We start from the raw sequence: 21,954 nt of genomic DNA, 5'->3' as shown, positions 1-21,954 counted from the left end.
CAAGTCCAAGATCCAGGCTGTGTCAGATTTTGTGCCTGGGGAGGGCTGCTGTCTGGTTCATAGCCATCTTCTGGCTGTGTCCTCACTTGATGGAAGGCATGAATGAGCTCTCTGGGGTCTCATTTCTAAGGGCACTAATCTCATGCATGAGGGCTCCACCCTTCTGACCTAATCACCTCCCGGAGGCCCCACCTAAAACCATCACACTGGGGGTTAGGTTTCAACATATGAATTTAGTGGGGGGAACATACACAGTCTATGGCGTTCCACCCCAGTCCCTAAAATTCATATCTTTCCCACATTCATCCCATCTCCATAGCCTCCGCTTCATTCCCACATCAACTCAAGTCTAAAGCCCAACATCTCATCCAAATCATATGGTTTCCTCTGATCCCCAATGTCAGTATCTCTGCGATCTCTCTGTATTAGTGAGATCCAAGGTATGATTCATCCTGACCACAGTCACCCTCCAGCTGTGAGCCTATGAAAACACACGAGCTCTGTGCCTCAGAAATCCCGTGGTGGGACCAGCATAGGACAGACATTTTCTTTCCGAAAGGAGAAATAGGAAAGAAAAGGAGTAACAGGTCCCAAGTAAGTCTAAAACCCAACAGAGAAAATAACATGGAACCTCAAGACTCCAGAATAATCCTCTTTGACTAGATGCTGTGCCCTCCAGACCCACTGGAGCAGGGGTCCTGCCTTTTGGACATAACGAGTTGGCGGTTCTGCCCCGGAGCTTTGCAGGGCAGGGGTTGGCTCTCCAAGTCCCTGGCCCCACAGCTTTGGGTGGCCTCCCACAGCTTTGGGTGACCCAATCCAGTGTAGTTGGATGGCCCTACAGTGGTTCTGTGCCTGGACCCCAGCCTTTGAAATTTAGGTAAGGGCAGCCACACCCCCAAGGCTCCTGCACTCCCCATGGTGGGGAAAAGAGAACCACACAGTCACTGCCAGCCTTTGCCACCTGCTCCCTCCAGAAGGCAACTGCTGGGGCTCACAGGGCACCAGGGTCTGCCCAAGGCAGAGCTGCACCCGGGACAGCCAGGGACAGCAGTGCTGGAGGGTGGGCAGCCCATGATGTGAGGCAGTGCCCTTGCAGTCCCAGGCACCAGTGGCCCCTACTTTTAAATCATTCTACCCTGGGGCTCTTGTGCCTGGCCTGACATGGGTGGGCAGCCCTGATGCTCTCTGAGTTGGCTGCAGGGTCATGTTTCTGTTGCCTTGGAGAATCGCTGCCGGCTTCTGTGGAGATGGCTGGTCCATACTGACTTCCTATCAGCATTCAGGATTCCTTAGTTATTCCCTAAGAAGATGTAGGCCTTCTCTACAGCTCTCCTTTTCTTTCTGAGTCCTCACCAGAATCACATTGAAAGGTCTGTTCATGGCAAGATAGGCCTTTTCTAGCTGTATCTCAGAACTCTTCCAACCTCTACCCATTACCCATTTCCAAAGCTACTTCTACATTCTTAGGTTTTATTATAGGGGCATCCCACTTTTGGGTACCAAATTCTGTATTATTCAGGATTTTCCAGAGTAACACAACCAACGGGATGGATATACATTTCTTAGAGGGAGATTTGTTACAGGAATCAGCTCACATGGGTATGAAGGCTGAGAAGCTCCAGGAGCTTCTGTCTGCAAGCTGGAGAACCAGGAAGGCTGGGGTGTCATTCAGTTCAAATCCAAAGGCCTGAGAACCAGGAGAGCTGGTGGCATAAGTTCCAGTCCGAATTCAAAGTCCCAAGAACCAGGAGAGCTGGTGGTATAAGTTCCAGTCTGAATTCGAAGTCCCGAGAACCAGGAGAGCTGGTGGTATAAGTTCCAGTCCAAATTCAAAGTCCTGAGAACCAGGAGAGCTGGTGGTATAAGTTTCAGTCTGAATTCGAAGTCCTGAGAACTTGGTGTGGGGAGAGGAGTGCAATGGTTTAAGTCTCAGTCCAAGAACCAGGCACTGATGTCCGAGGGCTGGAAAACATGCATGTCCCAGTTCAACAGGGAGCAGATTCCTCTCCCACTGCTTTTTTGTTCTATTCTGGCCCTCAGTGGGCTGGATGGTGCCTGCCCATATAGGGGAGGGTGATCTTTACTCAGTCCACCAATTCAAATGTTGATATCTTCCAGAAACGCCCTCACACACACACCCAGAAATCATGGTTCACCAGCTCTCTGGGCATCTCTTAGCCCAGTCAAGTTGACATGTAAAACTAACCACCACAATATACTACATAATGTAATATACATATAATGTCTATTGGTGGAGATCATTTAAAAATCAGAAACACAAAGCAATGCCTGCATTGCTGCCTGAAAAGAGGCACCTTGAAGAGGGGTTCCAGAAAGTAGCTCTAGTTGCATATCATATATCCTATGCCTGCCAGGATAATCTCACAAAGTGCTTCCTCCCGTGTTTTCCTGGGAAGGAAACCAGTGTGCCCTTCACAGTGGGGTGAACCTGTTGGTGCCTCCACAACCATCTCAGCCCCAGGGATTGTCTTGGGGCCATGACAGGTGAAGAGCACATGGCAGTTAGAGCTGGTACCAGTAGGCACAGGTTGCTGAACAGAGCAAAGTAAACCACGGAAACTACATCATCCAAACCCGAAACGCGGCAGGTTGGCCACAAATAGAGGGCTAATTTGAAGGACAATGAAATTTTAACTTATCCCCAGTGCCTACCATTTATTAGCGAATCTCAAGATAGCCGAGAACATTTATTCTTTTCACATCTATAGTAGCAATCCCCAGTCAACTCCAGACTAACCTGTTAAGTACCAGAGAATAAACATCACAGAGACGCTATAGCCTGGGCCAAATGGCCTGGCTCCAGAGTCTCCAGTAGTCTAGAACTACCCAACAGGAAATTGTTGCTGACATTTCTGAAGAAACCTCTTCACTTGGTTTTCTTTTTTATACATCTAGATCTTAGAAATGAAAACTCCTTGGACTCCCTGGCTGTCAAAGAGGCGGCTTGAACGTACTCAGCATCAGAAAATGAAACATTTGCTTTCACTGTCTGTTTCTTAGTGGAAGAATCACTCCATGGCTGTCAGTTGGCAGATCCATGGTTGCAGCTCTCTCATTCCATCCCTGGATATGGGCCATGAATGACTGACACCACCTAGGGTGGGCAATGGTGAGGTCAGTGGATTGCAGCTCTGCCCAGCAAAGCTAGAATTTGCACAGACCTGAACATCTTCCCTAGTCCCTCTTGAAGAGCCATTTCCAGTCCTAGTATTTCATATGCTGAGGGCATTGCTTGGTGTAATGACTGTCCTTGTCCCTTGACATCTTGTTTAGTTTGTCCTTGCATTCATATATGGAAACTAGGCATGGTCAGTTACACAGTGTTGTCAGCAGTAATATAGCCCTGCCCTGGAATGAACACATCCTTTTCCTGTTTTCTGCCACCCTAAACTCAACATATACTTGTGTTAGGCCACATTGTGCCTGGGGAGTCAACCATACAGAACATTCTTATAAAAACGTCTTCCCTGCACTGATGGGTTTAATCTGGAATATGTTGCATTCACTGTCATGGCTGGATTCTCTGTTTATTATTATAAGCATAATGATAGTATTTGGGTATTGTATTTATTTTGGCTTTTGACCTTTTTTCTGCTTGTTTAAGATAATCATATTTTTTTGTTTGCCTTTTAATTTTATAATCTTTTTGAATGGCCAATTTGTAAATATTTTGTAACTATGTTTACTGTGTTATTTCTTCCATAGTTTATATTTAAAAAACAAAAAAGATTCCCCTTCCAGACACCAGATAAGTGTTCAACTTTATTATAATTTGTTATTGCTTTTTTTTTTTTTTTTTTTTTGAGGCAGTGTTTTACTCCTGTCACCCAGCCTCAACTTCCCAGGCTCAAGAGATTCTCCCATCTCAGCCTCCCAAGTAGCTAGGGCTGCAGGTGCACACCACCATTCCTGGCTAATTTTTTGTATTTTTAGTAGAGACAGGGTTTTACCATGTTGCTCAGGTGCCAAGACCAGCTCAGTGGTGGAGACCCTAACCCAGCAGCGCTAGAGGAATTAAAGACACACACACAGAAATATAGCGTGTGGAGTGGGAAATCAGGGGTCTCACAGCCTCAGAGCTAAGAGCCTCGAACAGAGATTTACCCACATATTTACTGACAGCAAGTCAGTCATAAGATTTACTAAAAGTATTCCTTACGGGAAATAAAGGGATGGGCCCAAATAAAAGGATGGCACTGGCTAGTTATCTGCAGCAGGAACAGGTCCTTAAGGCACAGATCGCTCATGCTGTTGTTTGTGGTTTAAGAATGCCTTAAGTGGGCCGGGCGCGGTGGCTCACGCCTGTAATCCCAGCACTTTGGGAGGCCGAGGCGGGTGGATCATGAGGTCAGGAGATCGAGACCATCCTGGCTAACAAGGTGAAACCCCGTCTCTACTAAAAATACAAAAAATTAGCCGGGCGCGGTGGCGGGCGCCTGTAGTCCCAGCTACTCGGGAGGCTGAGGCAGGAGAATGGCGTGAACCCGGGAAGAGGAGCTTGCAGTGAGCCGAGATTGCGCCACTGCAGTCCGCAGTCCGGCCTGGGCGACAGAGCGAGACTCCGTCTCAAAAAAAAAAAAAAAAAAAAAAAAAAAAAAACAAAACAAAAGAACGCCTTAAGTGGTTTTCCGCCCTGGGTGGGCCATGCTGTCAAGGCCATCACAAGCATGTCACAGTGCTGCAGAGATTTTGTTTATGGCCAGTTTTGGGGCCAGTTTATGGCCAGATTTGGGGGCCTGTTCCCAACACTTAGGCTTGTCTCCAACTCTTCGGCTCAAGTGATCCACCCACCTCAGCCTCCCAAAATGTTGGGATTACAGGTATGAGCCACTGTGCCTGGCCAGCTTTGTGTTTTTTTGTTTTGTTTTGTTTTGTTTTTTAAGTAATTCTTTAATAGATCTGGGATTTATTTTAGTGTAAGATATAGGGAGGAGACCTATTTTTTTTTTTACTGTAACTAGGTAGTCCCTTCAAAATTTGAATATAAGACATCTATCTTTCTCTAATTTTTCACCAGACTTACCAAGTTTTCCTTACCAATGCTATAAAGTCAGACATGTGGCTAAACAATGTTCTTCATTCCAAATGGATGTGAATTCAATAACATCAGTCCTATTTAGAGGATTTTTAGATGCTCTTACCCAGAGTCAAAGATCAAGCTTTGCAAGGAGATGGCAAGATGGAGTAGGAACCCCCCTTTTCTCTGCCATGCTGCTTCACCAGGTCTCAGCTTCAGATCATGCAGGGCCTGGCAGATGGAACAGGGACTTCACCCAGAAGAGGAGGCACATTGGAATGACGGATGGCCTGCTCTCCCGTGGGCCCTGCCGAGCCTGGGCCTGCTCTGCTGAGATAAAGGGCACAGTGTAGGAAGCCTGGCCACATGCATCTCATGAGGATTTCTCCTTGTGGAAGCATTCTGAGTCTAGGGCGTGGCAGAGCCCACGGGTCCTCAATGGCAGCCCCGTTGGCTGTGTGATGTGTGACAGAGAAGTTTTCCTTGTTGAGTTTAACTTTGTTTGATGCCAGCAGGCAGCTCAGAGAGAGAGAGGCTTGTTGTTTAATCATCCTAGAAGGGGCAGTGTCCCCACCCCTCCCACTGTGTGCAGTCACTCCTGCCTCCCCCACCCCTGGCTTCCTGCAGAGCCTGCCTGCATTCGTGAGCCCTGTGTCTTCTGCCTAGGCCTTTGCTTTTACTTTGAGAGAAATCTTTCTGACTCCACTGTGTCCTTTCTTCCTTTGGGGTCTTTGTGCTGAGTGAATAGATTCCAGGTTTGCTTTCATCAACTCCCTGAAACTCTTTGGTGCTCACACTGGCTGTAGCTATTGGAGGCTGTAACGGGGGAGAGGTGGGCAATGGAGATGTGAACCCCCAAAATCTCAGACAGGTCTCAGTTAATTTAAAAAGTTTATGCCAAGGTTGAGGGCATGCACCTGTGACAGCCTCAGGAGGTCCTGACAGCATGTGCCCAAGGTGGTCAGGGGACCGTTTGGTTTTGTACATTCTAGGGAGACATAAGACATCAATCAACATATGTATGATGAACATTGGTTCAGTCCGGAAAGGTTGGACAACTCGAAGCAAAGGTGGGAAGACTTTCCAGTCTTCAGCGGGGAAGGGGCTTCCGGGTCATAGGTAGATGAGAGACAAATGGTCGCATTCTTCTGAGTTTCTGACTAGCCTCTCCAAAGGAGGCAATCAGATCTGCATTTATCTCAGTGAGCAGAGGGGTGACTTTGAATAGAATGGGAGGCAGATTTGCCCTCAGCAGCTCCCAGCTTGACTTTTCCCTTTAGCTTAGTGATGTGGGGGCCCCAGGATTTATTTTCCTTTCACAGAGACATTCTTTGTAACATTTTCCCTGTGAATCATTTTGCTTTTCCTCCCTACATTCATTCTCCTCTGCTGCAGAGCCAGGGTAGTAGATACAAGAGCTCCATTCGGCAATCTCCAGCTTGTGTTGAGAGCATCCTAATGACGTCACGCCGATGCTGATATGAGATTTTGCCCTTCAGAGTGTCCTCTCTGGTGCATAACTGCAGTCATGGTTAATAAAACAAGCTCTCTTCTTTTTATCTACATCAGGAACTATTTTTTCAAGAATGAATGGATAAAATGTTTTAATAAGAAAGTATATCAGAGCTTCTAAAAGTCACACCAAGGGGTTACAGAGATGCTGACTTCACTCACCCACCACATCACAGACCCAGCTGCGGGCCCCTCCCGGGGGATGAGCGATGTCCTCATCACATCGTCCCTGATGAATCGGCCATGAGTCATGCAACTCCACCAGCGGCCTCCTGCAGTCCCCACCTGGTGGACTGTCTTGAGCATCTGCTGCCACCAAACACTTCTTTCACATTTCCTGATTTCTCTGTCTGTCTCCTCCAGGTCTTCCCACTGTGGACCACATCATGGTGCATCCTCTCTCCCTCCTTCCCCAGAACAACAGTAACCCTACCGAGGTCCTCACCATGGTTCTACTCTCATCCTACATATCCTCCAGTGGTCCTTGGGCACCCTTGGCTGCTGCTGTGGGGTGGGCGTTCGCATCTGTATTTCCAGCAAAGCTCCAAACCAAGTCTTTTCCTGAGCCCTGCATGTCCCCAGCACTCAACAGGCCGAGAATGCAGGTGGCCTCTTCTCTCCCTGCCCACCACCTGACTTCTCTCCTGGCTAATTTCTCCACCAGTCGCCCAGGCAGAGGGCTAGGATGATGCAGCTCCCTTCTTTTTATTCTCAGCAGCTGAGAGGTCCTGAGGTCTCAGTTCTCCCTCCTCCAGGCCAGATCTGTCCCTCTGCAGGGCTGGATAGCAGTATCCTTTTGCCCCATTCTAGCCACGTTGTCCATTCCAGCCATGTTGCTATTGCATCCTCCACATGACCTCTTAAATCTAGAGGCCCTAAACATGTGCTGTGTGAAAGTCCTGTCCATGGTCTCTTGGCTCCCCAGGCCCCCATGTCCCTGCCCGCAGGCCTCATCAGTGTGGCACTGCAGCTCTGTGCGCCAGCCCACTGGCATCCCTGAGGGTACCCCAGCTGCCACCCTACAGGGCCATCCCTTGGCCTGTATCCTCCTGCCCAAGCACCTGGAGGCTCCCGGGTCCCCTGTAAGGCTTAGCCCCTCCTCTGTGAAAACCTCCCAGGCTGTTTCCAGTTCCCCCAGCATGCACAGGTCCCCCAGCACACAAGAGGTGGGACTGGTCACCCTCTGGTGGCCCCTTGCTGCCATCACCACAGGGCATCTCCCCACTGGGCTCTCACTTCCTGGAGGGCAGAGCCTGCCTCTTCACATTCCAAACACCTGGCACAAAGAAGACTGAGAAGTAGTGATGGGAAAGGAGTGGGCCAGGAGAAGAGGTGGGGGAGGAAGGAATTTGAGGCCAAGCGGCAAGAATTGTGACCTCACCATTCAGCTGTCTGATTTGCAAAAGGGCTAGGAAGACCGAGCCTACCTTTGCTCCCACATCTCCCCACAATCCGCGATCCTATGGCCTATTTTCCAGTTCACCTACATAGAGAAGAAAAACTACTCTGACCAGCACGCAGAATCCAGATCACTAAGACATGAACTCACAAATGATAAACAGGAGCGGGTGCAAGACTAAATTCTGCAGGAGAGCCTTCTGAAAATGTTTGCACACAATGACTACAATCAGAAAGGAAGAAAAGAATCTCTAAACTCCGGGGTCATTACTCTAGAGAGAAAATCATAGCCAGGGGTACAAAATTGTATTCTTTGAAAGTGTTCTGCGCTATCCTGGCTTCTGAACACAGTGCTCCACTTTAACGACTGGGACAGTGGTTTCCATTCATGGCCCCTCTCATTAAATCTCCTTCAGCCCAGGTTGCTTGCTTCCCCCTTTTCCTCCCCAGCGTTTGTCTTCTGTGCCACAGTCCATGCTGCCCCTGTGTCCAGTGAGGACAGTGCTCACATGCTGGCTGGGACGTACGCCAGGCCTTCACCCAGTGGAGCGGGGCAGGCAGGGGTCTCCTTCCTCCAGGCTACCAGGAGCTACCTAACTTTAAGCAATACTTTTTACTGCAGTGAGCATGTTTCCTCTTCTGTAAGAACATGGGGTTGAATTGCATGCTCCCCAAGGTCTTTTAAGCAATAAAATCCTGATTCCGTTAGTTGAGGCAGAAGAAGGACCTCCTGTGTCCCCTTGGGCAGAAGTGATAAGCAGTCGCTCCCGCACCCTCCACCTTGGTGTTTTGGTCTCAAGGGATTAGGAACTGCGAGGACCACTGGGGAAGGAGGTGCTGAGGTTTAGGGGAGACACTAGTATCCCCCAGCTCTGCCCACAGCACTGCCTGCTGGGTGCCTACTCGATGCCTGTCTAGACTCTAAGGCAAGCTTGTCCAACCCACAGCTTGTGGGCTACATGGGGCCCAGGATAGCTTTTAATGCAGCCCAACCCAAATTCGTAAACTTTCTTAAACGATTATGAGATTTTTTGTGATGTTTTGAAGCTCATCAGCTATAGCTAGTGTTAGTGTATTTTATGTGTGGCTCAAGACAGTTTTTCCGGTGTGGCCCAGGAAGTCAAAAGATTGGACACCCCTGCTGTAAGGAATGTCACAGGACCACGGTGATGACAAGGGTCTGGGGTTAGAAGAGGGATGGGCAGAGCAGTGGAACAGCAAGGAGAGATCAGAAAAAAAGAAAAAGAAAAAAAGGGGATCTGAGCATATAATAAAGGTGTCACTGCAATGACACCTGAAGCGGCACAGTGTGGGCGGGCCCCGTGTTGTTGTGGCACACACATCACTGCACAGGTTTCTTAGGCAGCCCCAGGAGGGGGAGCCATCTCATCCGGTTTGTATATGAGGAAACCAAAGCCAAGAGTAGGGCACAGTGACACTGACAGTGAGCTGGGTTGCAGGGCCATACACCACGGTCACCACCTGGGCCCCCGGAGACAGTATTACAGACCAAACGGGAAAGCAAAACTGTCCCAACACCAAAGACAAAGGTGGACTTCAGACAGCCTGAATCCTAGGTGTGAGTATTAAAACCAGGAGTTGAGACAGTGAAACTCAGGGACCCAGGAATGAGGAAGGACTTTCTCTTTTTAACTGTGGTAAGACATATATAACATAATATTGATCATTTTAACCATTTGTAAGTGAACAGTTCAGTGACATCAATACATTCACAATGTTGTCCTCACCAATGTTATACCCAAAATCTTTGTATCATCCCAGGTGGAAACAATGACTTCCCATTCTCCCCCTTCCAGCTCCTGTTCACCACGATCCTGCTTTCTGTCTCTCTGATTCTGGCTACTCTGGGCAACTCTTATAAGTGGGATCCTACAATAGTTGTCCTCTTGTGTCTGGCTTATTTCACTTAGCATAATGTCCTGAGGTTTCATTCATACTGTGTGTTAGAATTTTACTCTTTTTTAGAGCTGAATAATATCCCATTGTGTGTGTGTGTGTGTTTGTGTATGTGTGTGTGTATTTACTACAGCATCACATTTTGTTCATCCATCTGTTGATGGACACTTGGGTTGCTTCCTCCTTTTCTGTTGTAAATAATGCTGCCATGAACATGGGTGGATGAACCCGTTCAAATCCATACTTTCAGTTTTTTTGGATGTGTATCCTGTGAGCAGAGTTGCTGGGCTGCATGGTAATTCTACTTCTTTGTAAGGAACTACCAAGCTATTTTCCTCAGTGACTGCACCATTTTACACTGTCATCAGCAATGCATGATGGTTCCAAGTTCTCCACATCCTCCCAGTTTGTAATTTTCTATTTTCTTTTTATTATTGCAGCATTCTTGGTGAAGAATTTCTTAAATAAAACTTTAGCAGTATGTATCACAAGTCCTAAATATGGATAAATTTAAATACCTGGCCCATGATACAATACTGATCATATTTGTCCCAATAGCAATGTTTGAAGAAATTTTCTCCCATCGCTCATGGGGCTGTGTGAGGTCCCGGATACTGCCCTGGGTGTAGCAGCTTGCCCAGGGGAATGCTAAAGCTGTTTTTACTCAAGTGGTGCTCTTTGTTTGTTCATTTGTTTCTGCATCAAAACTAATTACATCTGTATTCCCAGATGGCCACACTTGAGATAGTGTGAGCACTAAGAAGAATATGTAGCTGTTGTAACACACTAAATTCAACAGAAAGTACATGGTCCATGGTTATCTTCATGGAGAGGGAGAGAAGGAATCTTCCTCTTGATTTCCAGTTCCATCAGAAATGTGACCATGGCTGTTCTTTAGCCCTGAATGATTCAGGCAGGGATCACGTATGTATGCTCACACCATTGGATGAAGGATTGTTAGGGAACCCGCAGGTCACTCTATGCCAGATATCAGCCCACAGGTTCTTGTTACAAAGGGACATGAAGACCTTTTCCATGGAGAGATGGTGACCTGCCACCTCAACCACACATCACGTTTAGCATCACACAGAGAGGGTGAGCCCAGCAGGCACCCCCTGATCTGAGGCAGGCTAAAGTACAGGCATCACCTGGTGACCAAAATCATTTAGCCCCAATCTTATCACGCCTCCAGTTTACAAGAAATACAAGAGTTTTAGAAAGCAAATGAGCAACCATCAGACGAACCCAGAATGTGGAACATTCTACAGACGAAAACTGACCTGGACTTCCCAAAAAGTCCACGAAAAAATACAGGGCGAGGGAAATAGGTATGGGACCATTGTCTTCTAGGAGCAAAACAAAGACATTTAACAACCAATATAATTGAACTGGATCCTAGGTCGGGAAAACGACGTGGAGGGGAGGACTGAATATAGATTGGATGTTAGATGTTTCATGGAGTGATTGTTGGCTTTCCTATGTGGCACAGTAGGTGTTAAAGTTATGCTAAGAGACTGTCTTTATTCTTAGGAGACACCTGCACATGCACCTCAGAGTAACATGTCGTGCTGCCTACAATTTTTTGGAGAGCTAGAGATGCATATATATATATATATATATATATATATATATATATATATATATATATATATATATGAGAGAGAGAAAGCAAATGTATTAAAACGTAAGCAGTTGTTAAATCTAGGATTATTGTACAACTTTTTCAAGTTTTGTATATGTTTGAAATTTTTTAATGAAAAGTTGGCGGGAATTATATCTAGTATTTCATGTTCAGTGTTCCTCAGAACTCTTATTTCCTGCCTCATGAAAGCCTTTATCTTTTTACTTTGCAGTTCGGGACCGAGTGAGATCGAAGATGGAGAGAGACATCTTGGCAGAAGTGAATCACCCCTTCATTGTGAAGCTTCATTATGGTAAGTAGAGTCAAAATGACACTTTAAAGAGGACCCAGGGCAACCTTCTCCAGATCAAAGAAAATTGAAAAAGAAATAACAGATCAGAAAGAAGAAAATCTTTCCTATACCATAGAGTCCTGCCCTGCCTGGGGAGGAAGGTGCCTTCTATCCTGATCACTTAATCTCTTCTGTATTTATTTTCTTTGAAAGAGCAAGAAGCCCTGTTTTCATCTCAAAGATCTAATTTTAGATGGGGTATCCATTATTAAATTATTACCATACCATTGATAATTTAGAAGATCTTAACCTAGATTGGGGTGAATCTATGACTTATTTTTGTGTTGTTTTAGAATAAAATACTCTATGACCCAATAATTTCTTTAAACCAGAAATGGTAACACCTCATTTCAAATGAATATCATGTTTAAAGATAGTAGTTCGTTGAACCCTCAAAACTTCTATTCAAGGTAGCTTATTATTTTCATGTTCTGAGGCTCAAATAATTAACCAAAGGCCACATAGCTGCTTTGCCACACAACTTCTCTTCATTTGCTGTCTGCCTTTTTATCCCAACAGAGAAGCAGTAAGTGAAATCTTCAAATTTAAAAAAGATGTGATGAGATGGTGGCTGCAGATTCATGGCTTATTACATTAAACTTTCCCACCTAATAATCCAGATGAGCAAAGTACAGAAGGGAACAGCAACAAAACTAATAGTTTGTTCTTGGTTGCAAAGGGCAAGGTGGTGTGTCGGGGAGGTGTTAGTGAGATTTGCGTGAATCTGAGGACAGGATGAAGGAGGCCTGCAGAAGCTGGGCACACCCTGCTGTTCCTTCTCGGCCGTGGGCAGCGCAGTTGCAAACCTCTACCTCCCGGCAGAGGAGGCTGCAGAGGCTGGCTTTCCAAAACTCTGCCCCCTCCGCTGCTGCCAAGTGGCTGGTGTCAAGTCCCATCCCACGTGTCATTTACATTACTTGCTAGGGTGCTTTTCTGAAGAAATTGAGAACTGGGTGTCCTACAAAGAGCTTTAAACAGACCTCCACATCACCTCAGTGGTGACCCAGCACCTCCACCTGCCTGCCAAGCCCAGGATGGAGCATTTAATGCACACTCAGTTTACACAGTCCTGGCAGAGGGCTTTCTAGCTGGGGGCTATGTTTCTAAAACCCCCACATTTATGATGCTTCTAGCATTTACTTTTAGAAAATAAAACGTTTTCTAGTATGCAGGGATATTGGGATCCCTTCCAGCCACACTTCCTTTGTAGATAAAAAAGATGCCACGCGGTGCCTCACCAGTGCCACTGCAGCAACCATCGTCACAGCAGCGATGGTGACGGGCTTCTCTAGACCCTCCCGTGCTCATGCGCCCGCTCAACAGAGGCAGGCCCTTGCTGAGTGTGGGCAGGAGCTGTGTAGCCTGCCTGTGGCCTGAAACAGAAAGTCTGCAGTTATAGCTCACAGTGACCAGACCTAGGACGTGAGCCCCATTGTTGATGTTCAAATAACTGGGCTGACCTATCACCAGAACTGCCTCAAGAGAGGAAGGCAAGCGGGGGGCTCCCTGGTACCAGAGTGGAGTTCTGTAAGAAGAAGGCACTTCCATAGGACGGAAAGGACATGTCCTCCAAACCCACCAGAGCCATCTTCAGGCTGCTCACTAATGCATTACGACAAAAGCCAGCAACGATACCAGCTTAAATATTCACATCTTTCTCCCCGTGTATCTTTCAATTCCTTTGTGATTAAAAAAGGGAGGGAGGGGAGAGGAAAGAAAGATGAAAGAAATCTCAAGGCCCCCTAACGACAGTGAGAGAGGGGCAGCGCTCACAGTGTCAGACCCCCTCTGCCGGGTGCTGCCCCTCTGAGCTGGTCACCAGCCGGGGTCCTGCCGTTTCTCAAGTGACTCAGCCTCCCGGAGTAAGCAGCACCGTGAGCAGGGAGAAGCCAGAGAGCGATGTTGCCACAGGACATTCGACAAGCTGTCAAAATGCGGGTCTCTGTCCCCCACAGCCTTTCAGACGGAAGGAAAGCTCTACCTGATCCTGGACTTCCTGCGGGGAGGGGACCTCTTCACCCGGCTCTCCAAAGAGGTGAGCAGCCGCCACATCACACAGGAGGGCGGGCAGGAGCTTCTGTCTGGGACTCGAGGGGAGGAGGGGTGGAGAGCATTGAGAGGACGTGAGCACGTGCGAGAGTGCGTGTGTGTGTGTGGGGGTGTGTGCATGTGTGAGTGTGTGCAAGAGTGCGTGTGTGGGAGAGGTGTACATGTGTGAGTGTGTGCAAGTGTGCATGATGTGTGGTGGGGGGTTGCGAGACTGCATGTGCATGTGTGGGGTTTGCATGGGGGCTGTGTGAGTGCATGTGCGTGATGTGTGGGGTGTGTATGTGTTTGAGTGCGTGTGTGGGGGGGTGTGCGTGGTGTTTGGGGTTGTGTGTGCATGGTGTGTGGGAATGTGAGTGTGTGTGCATGTGGGGTGTGCATGTGTCATGTGATAAGTGTGTGGTATGTGTGTGATGTGTGCTGTGTGTATATGTCAGGCGTGTGATTTGTGGTGTATGTGATGTGTGCTGTGTGTGATGGTGTGTGTGCTATGTGTATATGTGGGGGTGTGTTTGGCATGCTGTGTGCATGTGTGGGGTTGGTGTGCGTGGTGTGTGCTATGTGTGGGGTGTGTGGTGTGCTTTGTGCATGTGTGCATATGCAGGGTGTGTGTATGTGTGGGGTGTGTTTGTGTGTGGGTGTGTGTGTGCTATATGTGGTATGTGTGGTATGTGCTTTGTGTGGTGTGGGGTGTCTGTGTGTTTGACATCCTGTGTGCCTATGTAGGGTGTGTGTATGTATGAGTTGTGTGTGTGTGCTGTATGTGGTATGTGTGGTGTGTGCTATGTGTGATGTGGGGTGGGTGTGTGTGTGTGTGTGTGTGTTGGGTGTGCTGTGTGCATTGCTGCCTGGTTCTAAGGAAGCTGCACAAGTGGCCCTAGCAATCGTCCCAGGTGGCCCTGGCAGCGCCCCTGCAGCTCTGGGACCATAAGTCACGCTGTTGACCTCCCAGCTAGCGCAGATGGAAGGCGCAGGTCGGTGGGTAGGAGCGGCTGGGAAAGACTCTCACAGGGTCTCACTTTCCATCCTGGGAAGAGGGAGGGAAGAGGGAGGTACTGCTAAGCCGGCTGAACATTGGGGCTGTTCGGGAGCATCGGGTGTGGTCTTCGCACGCCACCTTTGTCTCACAGCCGCTACTGCACACCCCAGGGCTTCTCCTTGACCTCCAGTGCCTTAGGTAGGAACCCTCCAGGATGCAACTTCACTGCACCCTGAGAGCCCCGTGGCCCTGATTGACGTGAAAAGCACCCCGCTTCATGGGATGGCAAAAGGCAGATTCTGCCCATGGCAGTGCCAGTGCCGGGCTTTCCGTTCTGACGATCCTGCTTGTTCATCTCTTATACAAAGGAGTGGCCGAGGTGCTTTCACAGCAACAGTGGCCTTCACACCCCCCACTCCCTTTTCCCCACCTTCCCCCTTTTCAGCAGGAGACCCCGCTGTCTTGCACAAAGCCCCAAATGAACAGTAAACCAAGGCAGAGCTGCTCCTGAATCGGGCGCAAAGGGTCCCAGAGACCATGGCTGCCCTGTCCCTCTGCGTCCAGCAGTCCCTTGGACAGTGGTGCACGTTTCTGTGGGGCTCCTTGCATGGAGGAAAAACAGTGGGCCGGGAGAACCTGATCCAAGCTCTACACAAAGGCCTTTGGGAACTGGCGTCTGGCCCCTTCCTTTGCCTCCTGCTGTGTGGCCATTTCCAAAGATGCTGGAGCCTGGTGTCTGCCCATTCCTCATGTGGTATCATCTGTTGGTTTGTCCACTCCCCTCTCATCCACAGGGAGTCAGTCCATTTGGGGTCCAGTTTTGTCCAGCAGCTGCTATGACACGCCTGTGGTTGGGCCCCCTGACCAAAAAGACAACAGTAATCAGCAAAAAGTCCTGCAGCTCCCCACGTGGGAATGTGTGCCTCCCCCGAGGGCCTTCATTTCGGAGTAGGAGGGAAGTTGTCCAGGGCGGGCACCACAGATTCGTGGAGTTGCTGGGAACCTGCGGAAAGTCTTTTCCTTGGGTCCTCATTCAGCAAGTATGGGGTCCAGCATCTTATGGGGACCGTCGCTGTGCCGGCGAACCTGCAGAACTCACCTTGGGTCGTCATTTAGCAAGTACGGGGTCCAGCATCTTACGGGGACCATCGCTGTGCCGGTGAACCTGCAGAACTCACACCGTGAGGTGTTCCCTTTCTATGGAGAAACTTCCTGCTATTGTCCTTGGGGGTTACACTAAGAGCTAGGGGAGTGGAAAGACAGGTTTGCCTCTGAGCCCTAAATTGTACACAAAACCCATGGTGGGCCACGTGTGGATATGTCAAGTCAGAGGAAAGAACCAGGCCACTAGCAGAACGTGCTGTCAGTCAGTCCACTGAGCACCTTAACCGATCTAGAAAAGAAACATACATCCGGGAAAGGCGCTGGCCAAGCGTGGAATGGAGGACGGGGACTCGGGGGGCCGGTGGGTGGCTGGCACCCACCAGTCACTGTCAGGATGCAGAGCCTGCGTGTCCAGCCCTGTGGAAGAACCCCCTGTGTGAAGCGGGTGCCCGGCTGTCGGCCTGACGCCACTCACCGTTCAGGTCCCCTGGCTGCCCTTCTAATTTTGTGTTTGCCGGGCAGCCTTCTGGCTGCGTGCTGATTTTTCACGTCTGCTTACCGGAGAGAATTCAGTAATCATGTGGACTTGTAGTCTCCATAACATTGATTTCTCCTGACGAATATAGAAAATGGCTTGTGGTCATGATTTTGCTTCCTCTTAAGGGGGTCTACAAAATCTATGTGCTGATTCTAACAAGTCGGGGGTGGGGATGAGTCATTATGGGGCGATGGCTTTGGAGTCTGTTGGGCTCCGAGGCCTCATGCATGTTTCGGCTGGCCTGAGTGAGCCCCCGGGACATGGACACTTAGGCCATCCCTGCCTGGTCACCTCCCAGCCCTGAGCTGTCCCAGCTACGTGGGATCCCGGAATGTGGCTGCCAACCCCAACACCTGGAAACCCCTCCCCATCCCGCCCCCTCAGCTTGGGGCACCCATAGCCAACTCTGTACCACCTGTGGGTGATCTTTGGTAGAACTAATCCCACTTTGGGTTGACAGCAGGTTACGTAGGCTACTAGTTTGCATCAACCCAAGGAGTGGAGATAGATAATCCATGGGGAAAGAATGATATTTGAGCCCCATTTTCAGTCACCTCATCAAGCCCTCAGCGTCTTACTTGTATTACATTTGTTATGAATTCACATGAGCAGCACTCATGCTAGAATGTAAACCCAGAAACCTACTCCAGAGCCAAATGATTTGCAGGGGTGAGAAGGACACAGAGAGGAGAGGCTGAATCTCAGCACCCCACTCTCAAGGCGGCATGAGTCACCTGTGCAGGAAGCCCTCGTCTCCATCCACTGATCTTGGAACTGCAGAGGGAACTCACTTTTCCATGAGAAGAGTCAGAAGACCACTCTGGGGGGCCATAGCGTTCCACAGAGCAAACTGACCCCAGTGTGGACTCTCAGTCTCTCTGGCAGAGTTCTTTAAAACACACCAGCCATAAAACAAGTTAAACGTTTTTTGTTTTTGTTTTTGTTTTTTTCTTACTAGGTCATGTTCACGGAGGAGGATGTCAAGTTCTACCTGGCTGAGCTGGCCTTGGCTTTAGACCATCTCCACAGCCTGGGGATCATCTACAGAGATCTGAAGCCTGAGAAGTAAGTGAGAAAAAACTAGGGCTGACTTCCCCACGCCCATCAGCTCCATGTATTTTCCTGGCCCATGTTGGTAGCCACTGCTAGATATTTATTTCCTAAATGAGGACATATCAGAGAGCAGGCTGGGGAGACTCTTGTGCCGGCAGGACCGGCTCAGGCATCAGGTGCCCAGATGCAGGTGTGGCCTTGCTGATTTGCATAGGAAATGCCCAGGCCCATTCTCACCTGACACTCATAACGCCTGAGGGAGGCCAGGCTCAGGTGCATGTCTGTGATGCACGGGAAGCCGGAGCTGGGGAGGGGCACGCCCACGACCCTGACCCACATTCCCGCCCTCTCTCCTGGGTGAGGCTCATCTGGCCACTGGGGACCATCTCAAACATGGCTGCCTCCAGGGCAGTTTCTCCTCCTCTCTCATCTCTTCCCTACTGTCCTCCAGATTCAGGAAGCCCTTTCATCTACTTCAGCAAGTCCCAGGAATGTGGTCAATGAACCTCTACTCAGTTACTTGTCAGCCCCACCTCTAGGTCCCCAGTCAGAACAGCTCTCCCAAGAACTTACCTAAAAGACAACGGCCCCAGAATTCTCAGACCCAGAGTCCACTGAGATTTGTATATCCTTGGCAGTGGTGACCTGTGAGGCTATTATTTCTACGATATTTTGCTAATCTATTCTAGATTTTTGAACAGTAAAGTCCCTCCAAAATAATAGTGTTCCCATTTTCATTTTGTTGTTGTTGTTTTTACATATTCTTTGTAGACCTGACACATAACTAGGAGTGATCCACTTAGAAAAGAAGAGATTTGGAGGATGGTATTTTAGGTTGAGTTGACCTCAGCAGTATCCCTGAGGTGATCACTCACTCTTCCCTGCCCTGAGGGGCCGATTAATGCCACCCACCCAGACCAGGGCCCATAGCCGCCCCTAGATGAGGCATCACCTGTGGCCTGGTGGGACCGACCGGCCTTGGGTACCACCAGAGAGCCCCGTGCCTGTGAGCTAAGACCAAGGGGGGGCCCTGGGGTCTGCAAACGCGTCCCAGTTGCTACTCCACATTCCTGCCCTGTCACCTGCATGGAACTGAGAAAAGACAAGCCCTGCTCCGAAGCTGGTGTTGTTAGATGCAGCTGTCATCTATGGGAAACAGCTGGGTTTACCCAGAAACCAGGTCACATCCCATATCCACTGCAGGATGCAAAATGCATTTGCCCATGTGCTTGATGATCTGACTTCACCACCAGTCCGTGGAACGCCACAGGCACACATGTGAGTTGAATACGTGTGTAAATACAGCTGGAGCATCCCTCATCCGAATCTGAAATGCTCCAAAATCCAAAACTTTTTGAGCCCCAATGGGACACCCCCCAGTGGAAAATTCCACACATAAGCACTTAACACAAACGTGGTTTCATACACAAAATTATTTAAAATATTCTATAAATTAGCTCCAGGTGATGTGTAGAAGGTATATATGAAACATAAATGAATTTTGTTTCATTTCAGACTTGTGGCCCATCTCCAAGATATCTCATTATATATAAGTAAATATTGCAAAATCCCCAAATCCTAAACACTTCCGGTTTCAGGCATTTCAGATAAGGGATGCTCAACGTAGAATCAAAAAAGACTTTATCCAGAGTAATCCCATGAAGAGAGCAGCCTCCGCAGCTGCTGTCTCCCCACAAGAGCAGCAGCACAAGGCCAGATTTCCATTTCAAAGTGGGTCTGACCTAGAACCCCGTGGTGCTCTGAGCCCTGGGAGTCCCCTTTCGCCTCTCCTTAATTGGGAGGTGATTGCAGAGCCTGGCCTGTCACCTTGGGTCGTTGCCAAGGTCATCCCAGAAGTTAACCTGGTATTAATTACCCTCCAAGTCGGAGTGCCGTGTTGTGAGTCTGTGTGGACGTTGCCACTCCTCCTCCTCGTGCGGCCCTGGCTGTTGACGCCTGTGTGTTAGACACACTCCCCGTGCATCCACTCAGGCCGGGAGTGCCGGTTCTCATTGCTCCTGAAGGTCAGCGTGATCCTTACAGCTAAAAATAGCCTTATTTAATTGCAAGCTTGAAGGAAAAGGTTGTGTTGTTCAACTAGAATTATTAGAGAATTAATCTTGAAAGGTGCTTAATTCTGGGCAAAGATTGAATATGCCCAAAAGGCAAAGATGAAAAGATTTGCCTTGTTCATTATAAATTGTCATCTTAATTACATGCTGTAACTTTTCCTTCCCATTTCCAGAAAATAGTGGTTATTTTTTTAACTCTGTGGCAGATTTTTTTTAATTGTAGAAAAATACACATGACTTTTACAGTTTTCACCACGTTTAAGTGCCCAGTTCAGTGGCATTAAGCACGTTCCCATTGCTGGGCCCCCATCCCCACCGTCCATCTCCAGAACTGTTTCATCTTGCAGAACTAAAGCTCTGTCCCCCTGCACAGTAGCTCCCCAGCCCCCGGCACCCGCCATCCACTTTCCATCTCTGTGACTCTGGCCCCTCTAGGGACCATACATTTTATATTTGTAAAATCATATAATACCTGTCGTTTGGGGACGGGCTTATTTAATCGAGCATAATGTCCTCCGGGCTCCTCTGTGCTGTAGCAAGTCAGGCTTTCCTTCCTTTCACAGGTTTCTATAAAGGTATCACAGATTAATCCTCCAAGCCTTGCCTTTGTTTCTTTCCAGCCCACTTCCTGGTCTCTTTAGGGCTAGGCTGGTACCTCCCAGCATCTGGAAGAACAGGATTTAATTACAGCCAAATAAATAAATGGGGAAAGTTTAGGGCCACAGGTGTGTCAAGGTATCACAGCCCAGACTCCCGCCTGATGTTCAGGGAAGAAGGGATTTATGCCTGCACCCAGCCCTTTACGGACCCTGCCTCCATTCTCTATGCAGGGTTCACCCCACGGCAGGATACCTGGGAGGAGCAAAGGCAACTGTCACGTCCGGCACATGGCGTGACAAGGGCTTGGCAGGGAACAAGACAGGGACCCAGTGGCCCGCAGGGGTGCCAAGCCGGGAGCAGGTCTCATCACAAGATGTACCTGCTGAAGCCCGAAGCTCCTCGATGCCTTGGCCCCCGCTTGTGCAGGCCTCACCTGGGTGGGTCTGGAGAGCCAGGGCAGGGCTCAGGGGAGGATACATGGGAGAAGAAGGGGGTCTTTGGACATCAAGGGCATCCCGAGTGCAGAAACATTCCATCTGCGAGGCTCTGGGTCTCCACAGGCCACAGCAGTCCCAGGACGCTCTCCACCTATGCTTTGCGCACAGCAGTCTGGAGGGCTCTTAGACCTTCCCTGGGGACCCACGAATATCTAAAGCCAGCAGTCCTCCAGCTGCACGAACACACATCCCTTTATCCAGGAGGTGTGGCACCAAATGCTTTCTCGAGCTGGGAGCTGTGGAGAAGCGAGGCAGGATGGGAAGGCCCACCGCACAAGCCGTGGGGATCTCCTGGGCCAGCTCCATCAGGGCTCCCTGAAAACGTCCGCCCCCAGCTGCCCCGCAGCTCTCCTCTGAGCTCTGCGTGCCCGTCGGCAGGCTGGGTCTCTTTCTAAAGCATCTGTTTTCTCTCCCTTTCTTTTAGCATCCTCCTGGATGAAGAGGGGCACATTAAGATCACAGGTTTGTAAAAGACGGCAGGCCCCCTCCATGGCTTCATCTCAGCCCTGGTACCTTTGGGGACCACCTCAAAGCCCAAGCCCTCTTATTTACACCGCCCTTCCCTTTGCCAGATGCTTGTCTCTGATTTGGCAGAATTTTCTATAGCTACAGACTGCTTATGGCATTGTATGTCTTCATAACGTCCAGACCCATGCAGCTTCCCGGTGGCCCCTTCTTTTCCCTCTCCCCTGCCACGTTCTGTTTGCTGGGCTCCTTCAGCGTCGCTGGGTGTTTAGTTCAGGAGTCCCAGTGCCCAGTGCTGACCTTAGTGCAGACATCTGGAGTCTTGCTGGAGTGTAGCCTGCAATGTGGGCCTTGCAGATGCCCAGTGCCAACCTGAGGGCAGACATCTGGAGTCTCGCTGGAGTGCGGCCTGCACTGCTGCCCTCACTGATGCTGTCCCTGCCTCCTTCTCACTCCCTGGACCGTGGTGGTGGCCACGTGACTTCCCTCCCTGTTTCCATCTGAGCCCTGGCAGCCACCAGCAAATTCAGTCAAACTGGCAACAGCTCCTCTAGTCTCAGGACACCCCATTTGTATTAGTTCCCTATAGCATCTGCAACAAAATGCCAGGAACATCGGGGCTTTAAACCACACAAACTTATCACCTGACAGGTCAGGAGGCCCCAAGTGTGAAATAAGTCTCCCAGGAATGAAATCAAGGTGTCAGCAGGGCTGCCTGCCTTTTGGGGGCCTCTAGAGGAGACTCCCTTGCTTAGCTTC

The 21,954-nt window shown here is 49.2% G+C and overlaps 1 protein-coding gene and 1 non-coding gene across 10 annotated transcripts in view, besides 3 other annotated features; both read left to right on the top strand.

Annotated features, from left to right (window-relative positions):
- Positions 1–21,954, top strand: part of RPS6KA2 (ribosomal protein S6 kinase A2) — a 453,410-nt gene that overhangs the window by 340,695 nt on the left and 90,761 nt on the right. For 8 of the 9 annotated variants that reach the window (XM_047419235.1, NM_001006932.3, NM_001318936.2 and 5 more), the window contains 4 exons: positions 11,722–11,802; positions 13,797–13,876; positions 17,467–17,573; positions 21,155–21,192. In XM_047419235.1, coding sequence (XP_047275191.1) covers positions 11,722–11,802; positions 13,797–13,876; positions 17,467–17,573; positions 21,155–21,192 — 306 coding nt within the window. The remainder of the gene's footprint in view (positions 1–11,721; positions 11,803–13,796; positions 13,877–17,466; positions 17,574–21,154; positions 21,193–21,954) is intronic. The other variant, NM_001318937.2, reaches the window with a different exon arrangement.
- Positions 12,646–12,725, top strand: MIR1913 (microRNA 1913). Its single transcript, NR_031734.1, has one exon. It is a non-coding gene; the product is annotated as a microRNA 1913 (primary transcript).
- Positions 14,063–15,002: an enhancer, noted in NCBI's record as "H3K4me1 hESC enhancer chr6:166920565-166921504 (GRCh37/hg19 assembly coordinates)". NCBI's record gives its function as "activates a minimal SCP1, AML or CMV promoter by ChIP-STARR-seq in naive and primed H9 embryonic stem cells {active_cell/tissue: H9 hESC(naive and primed)}" and the evidence as "EXISTENCE:reporter gene assay evidence [ECO:0000049][PMID:30033119]".
- Positions 15,003–15,943: an enhancer, noted in NCBI's record as "H3K4me1 hESC enhancer chr6:166919624-166920564 (GRCh37/hg19 assembly coordinates)". NCBI's record gives its function as "activates a minimal SCP1, AML or CMV promoter by ChIP-STARR-seq in primed H9 embryonic stem cells {active_cell/tissue: H9 hESC(primed)}" and the evidence as "EXISTENCE:reporter gene assay evidence [ECO:0000049][PMID:30033119]".
- Positions 17,094–18,293: an enhancer, noted in NCBI's record as "BRD4-independent group 4 enhancer chr6:166917274-166918473 (GRCh37/hg19 assembly coordinates)". NCBI's record gives its function as "activates an origin of replication core promoter dependent on BRD2, P300/CBP, MED14 and CDK7 cofactors, and independent of BRD4, by STARR-seq in HCT116 cells {active_cell/tissue: HCT116}" and the evidence as "EXISTENCE:reporter gene assay evidence [ECO:0000049][PMID:35650434]".

This window comes from Homo sapiens, chromosome 6 (assembly GCF_000001405.40).
Source record: "Homo sapiens chromosome 6, GRCh38.p14 Primary Assembly".
NCBI classification, from domain to species: domain Eukaryota; kingdom Metazoa; phylum Chordata; class Mammalia; order Primates; family Hominidae; genus Homo; species Homo sapiens.
Note: the sequence above shows the minus strand (reverse complement) of the source record. Positions and strands in the feature narration are given on the sequence as shown.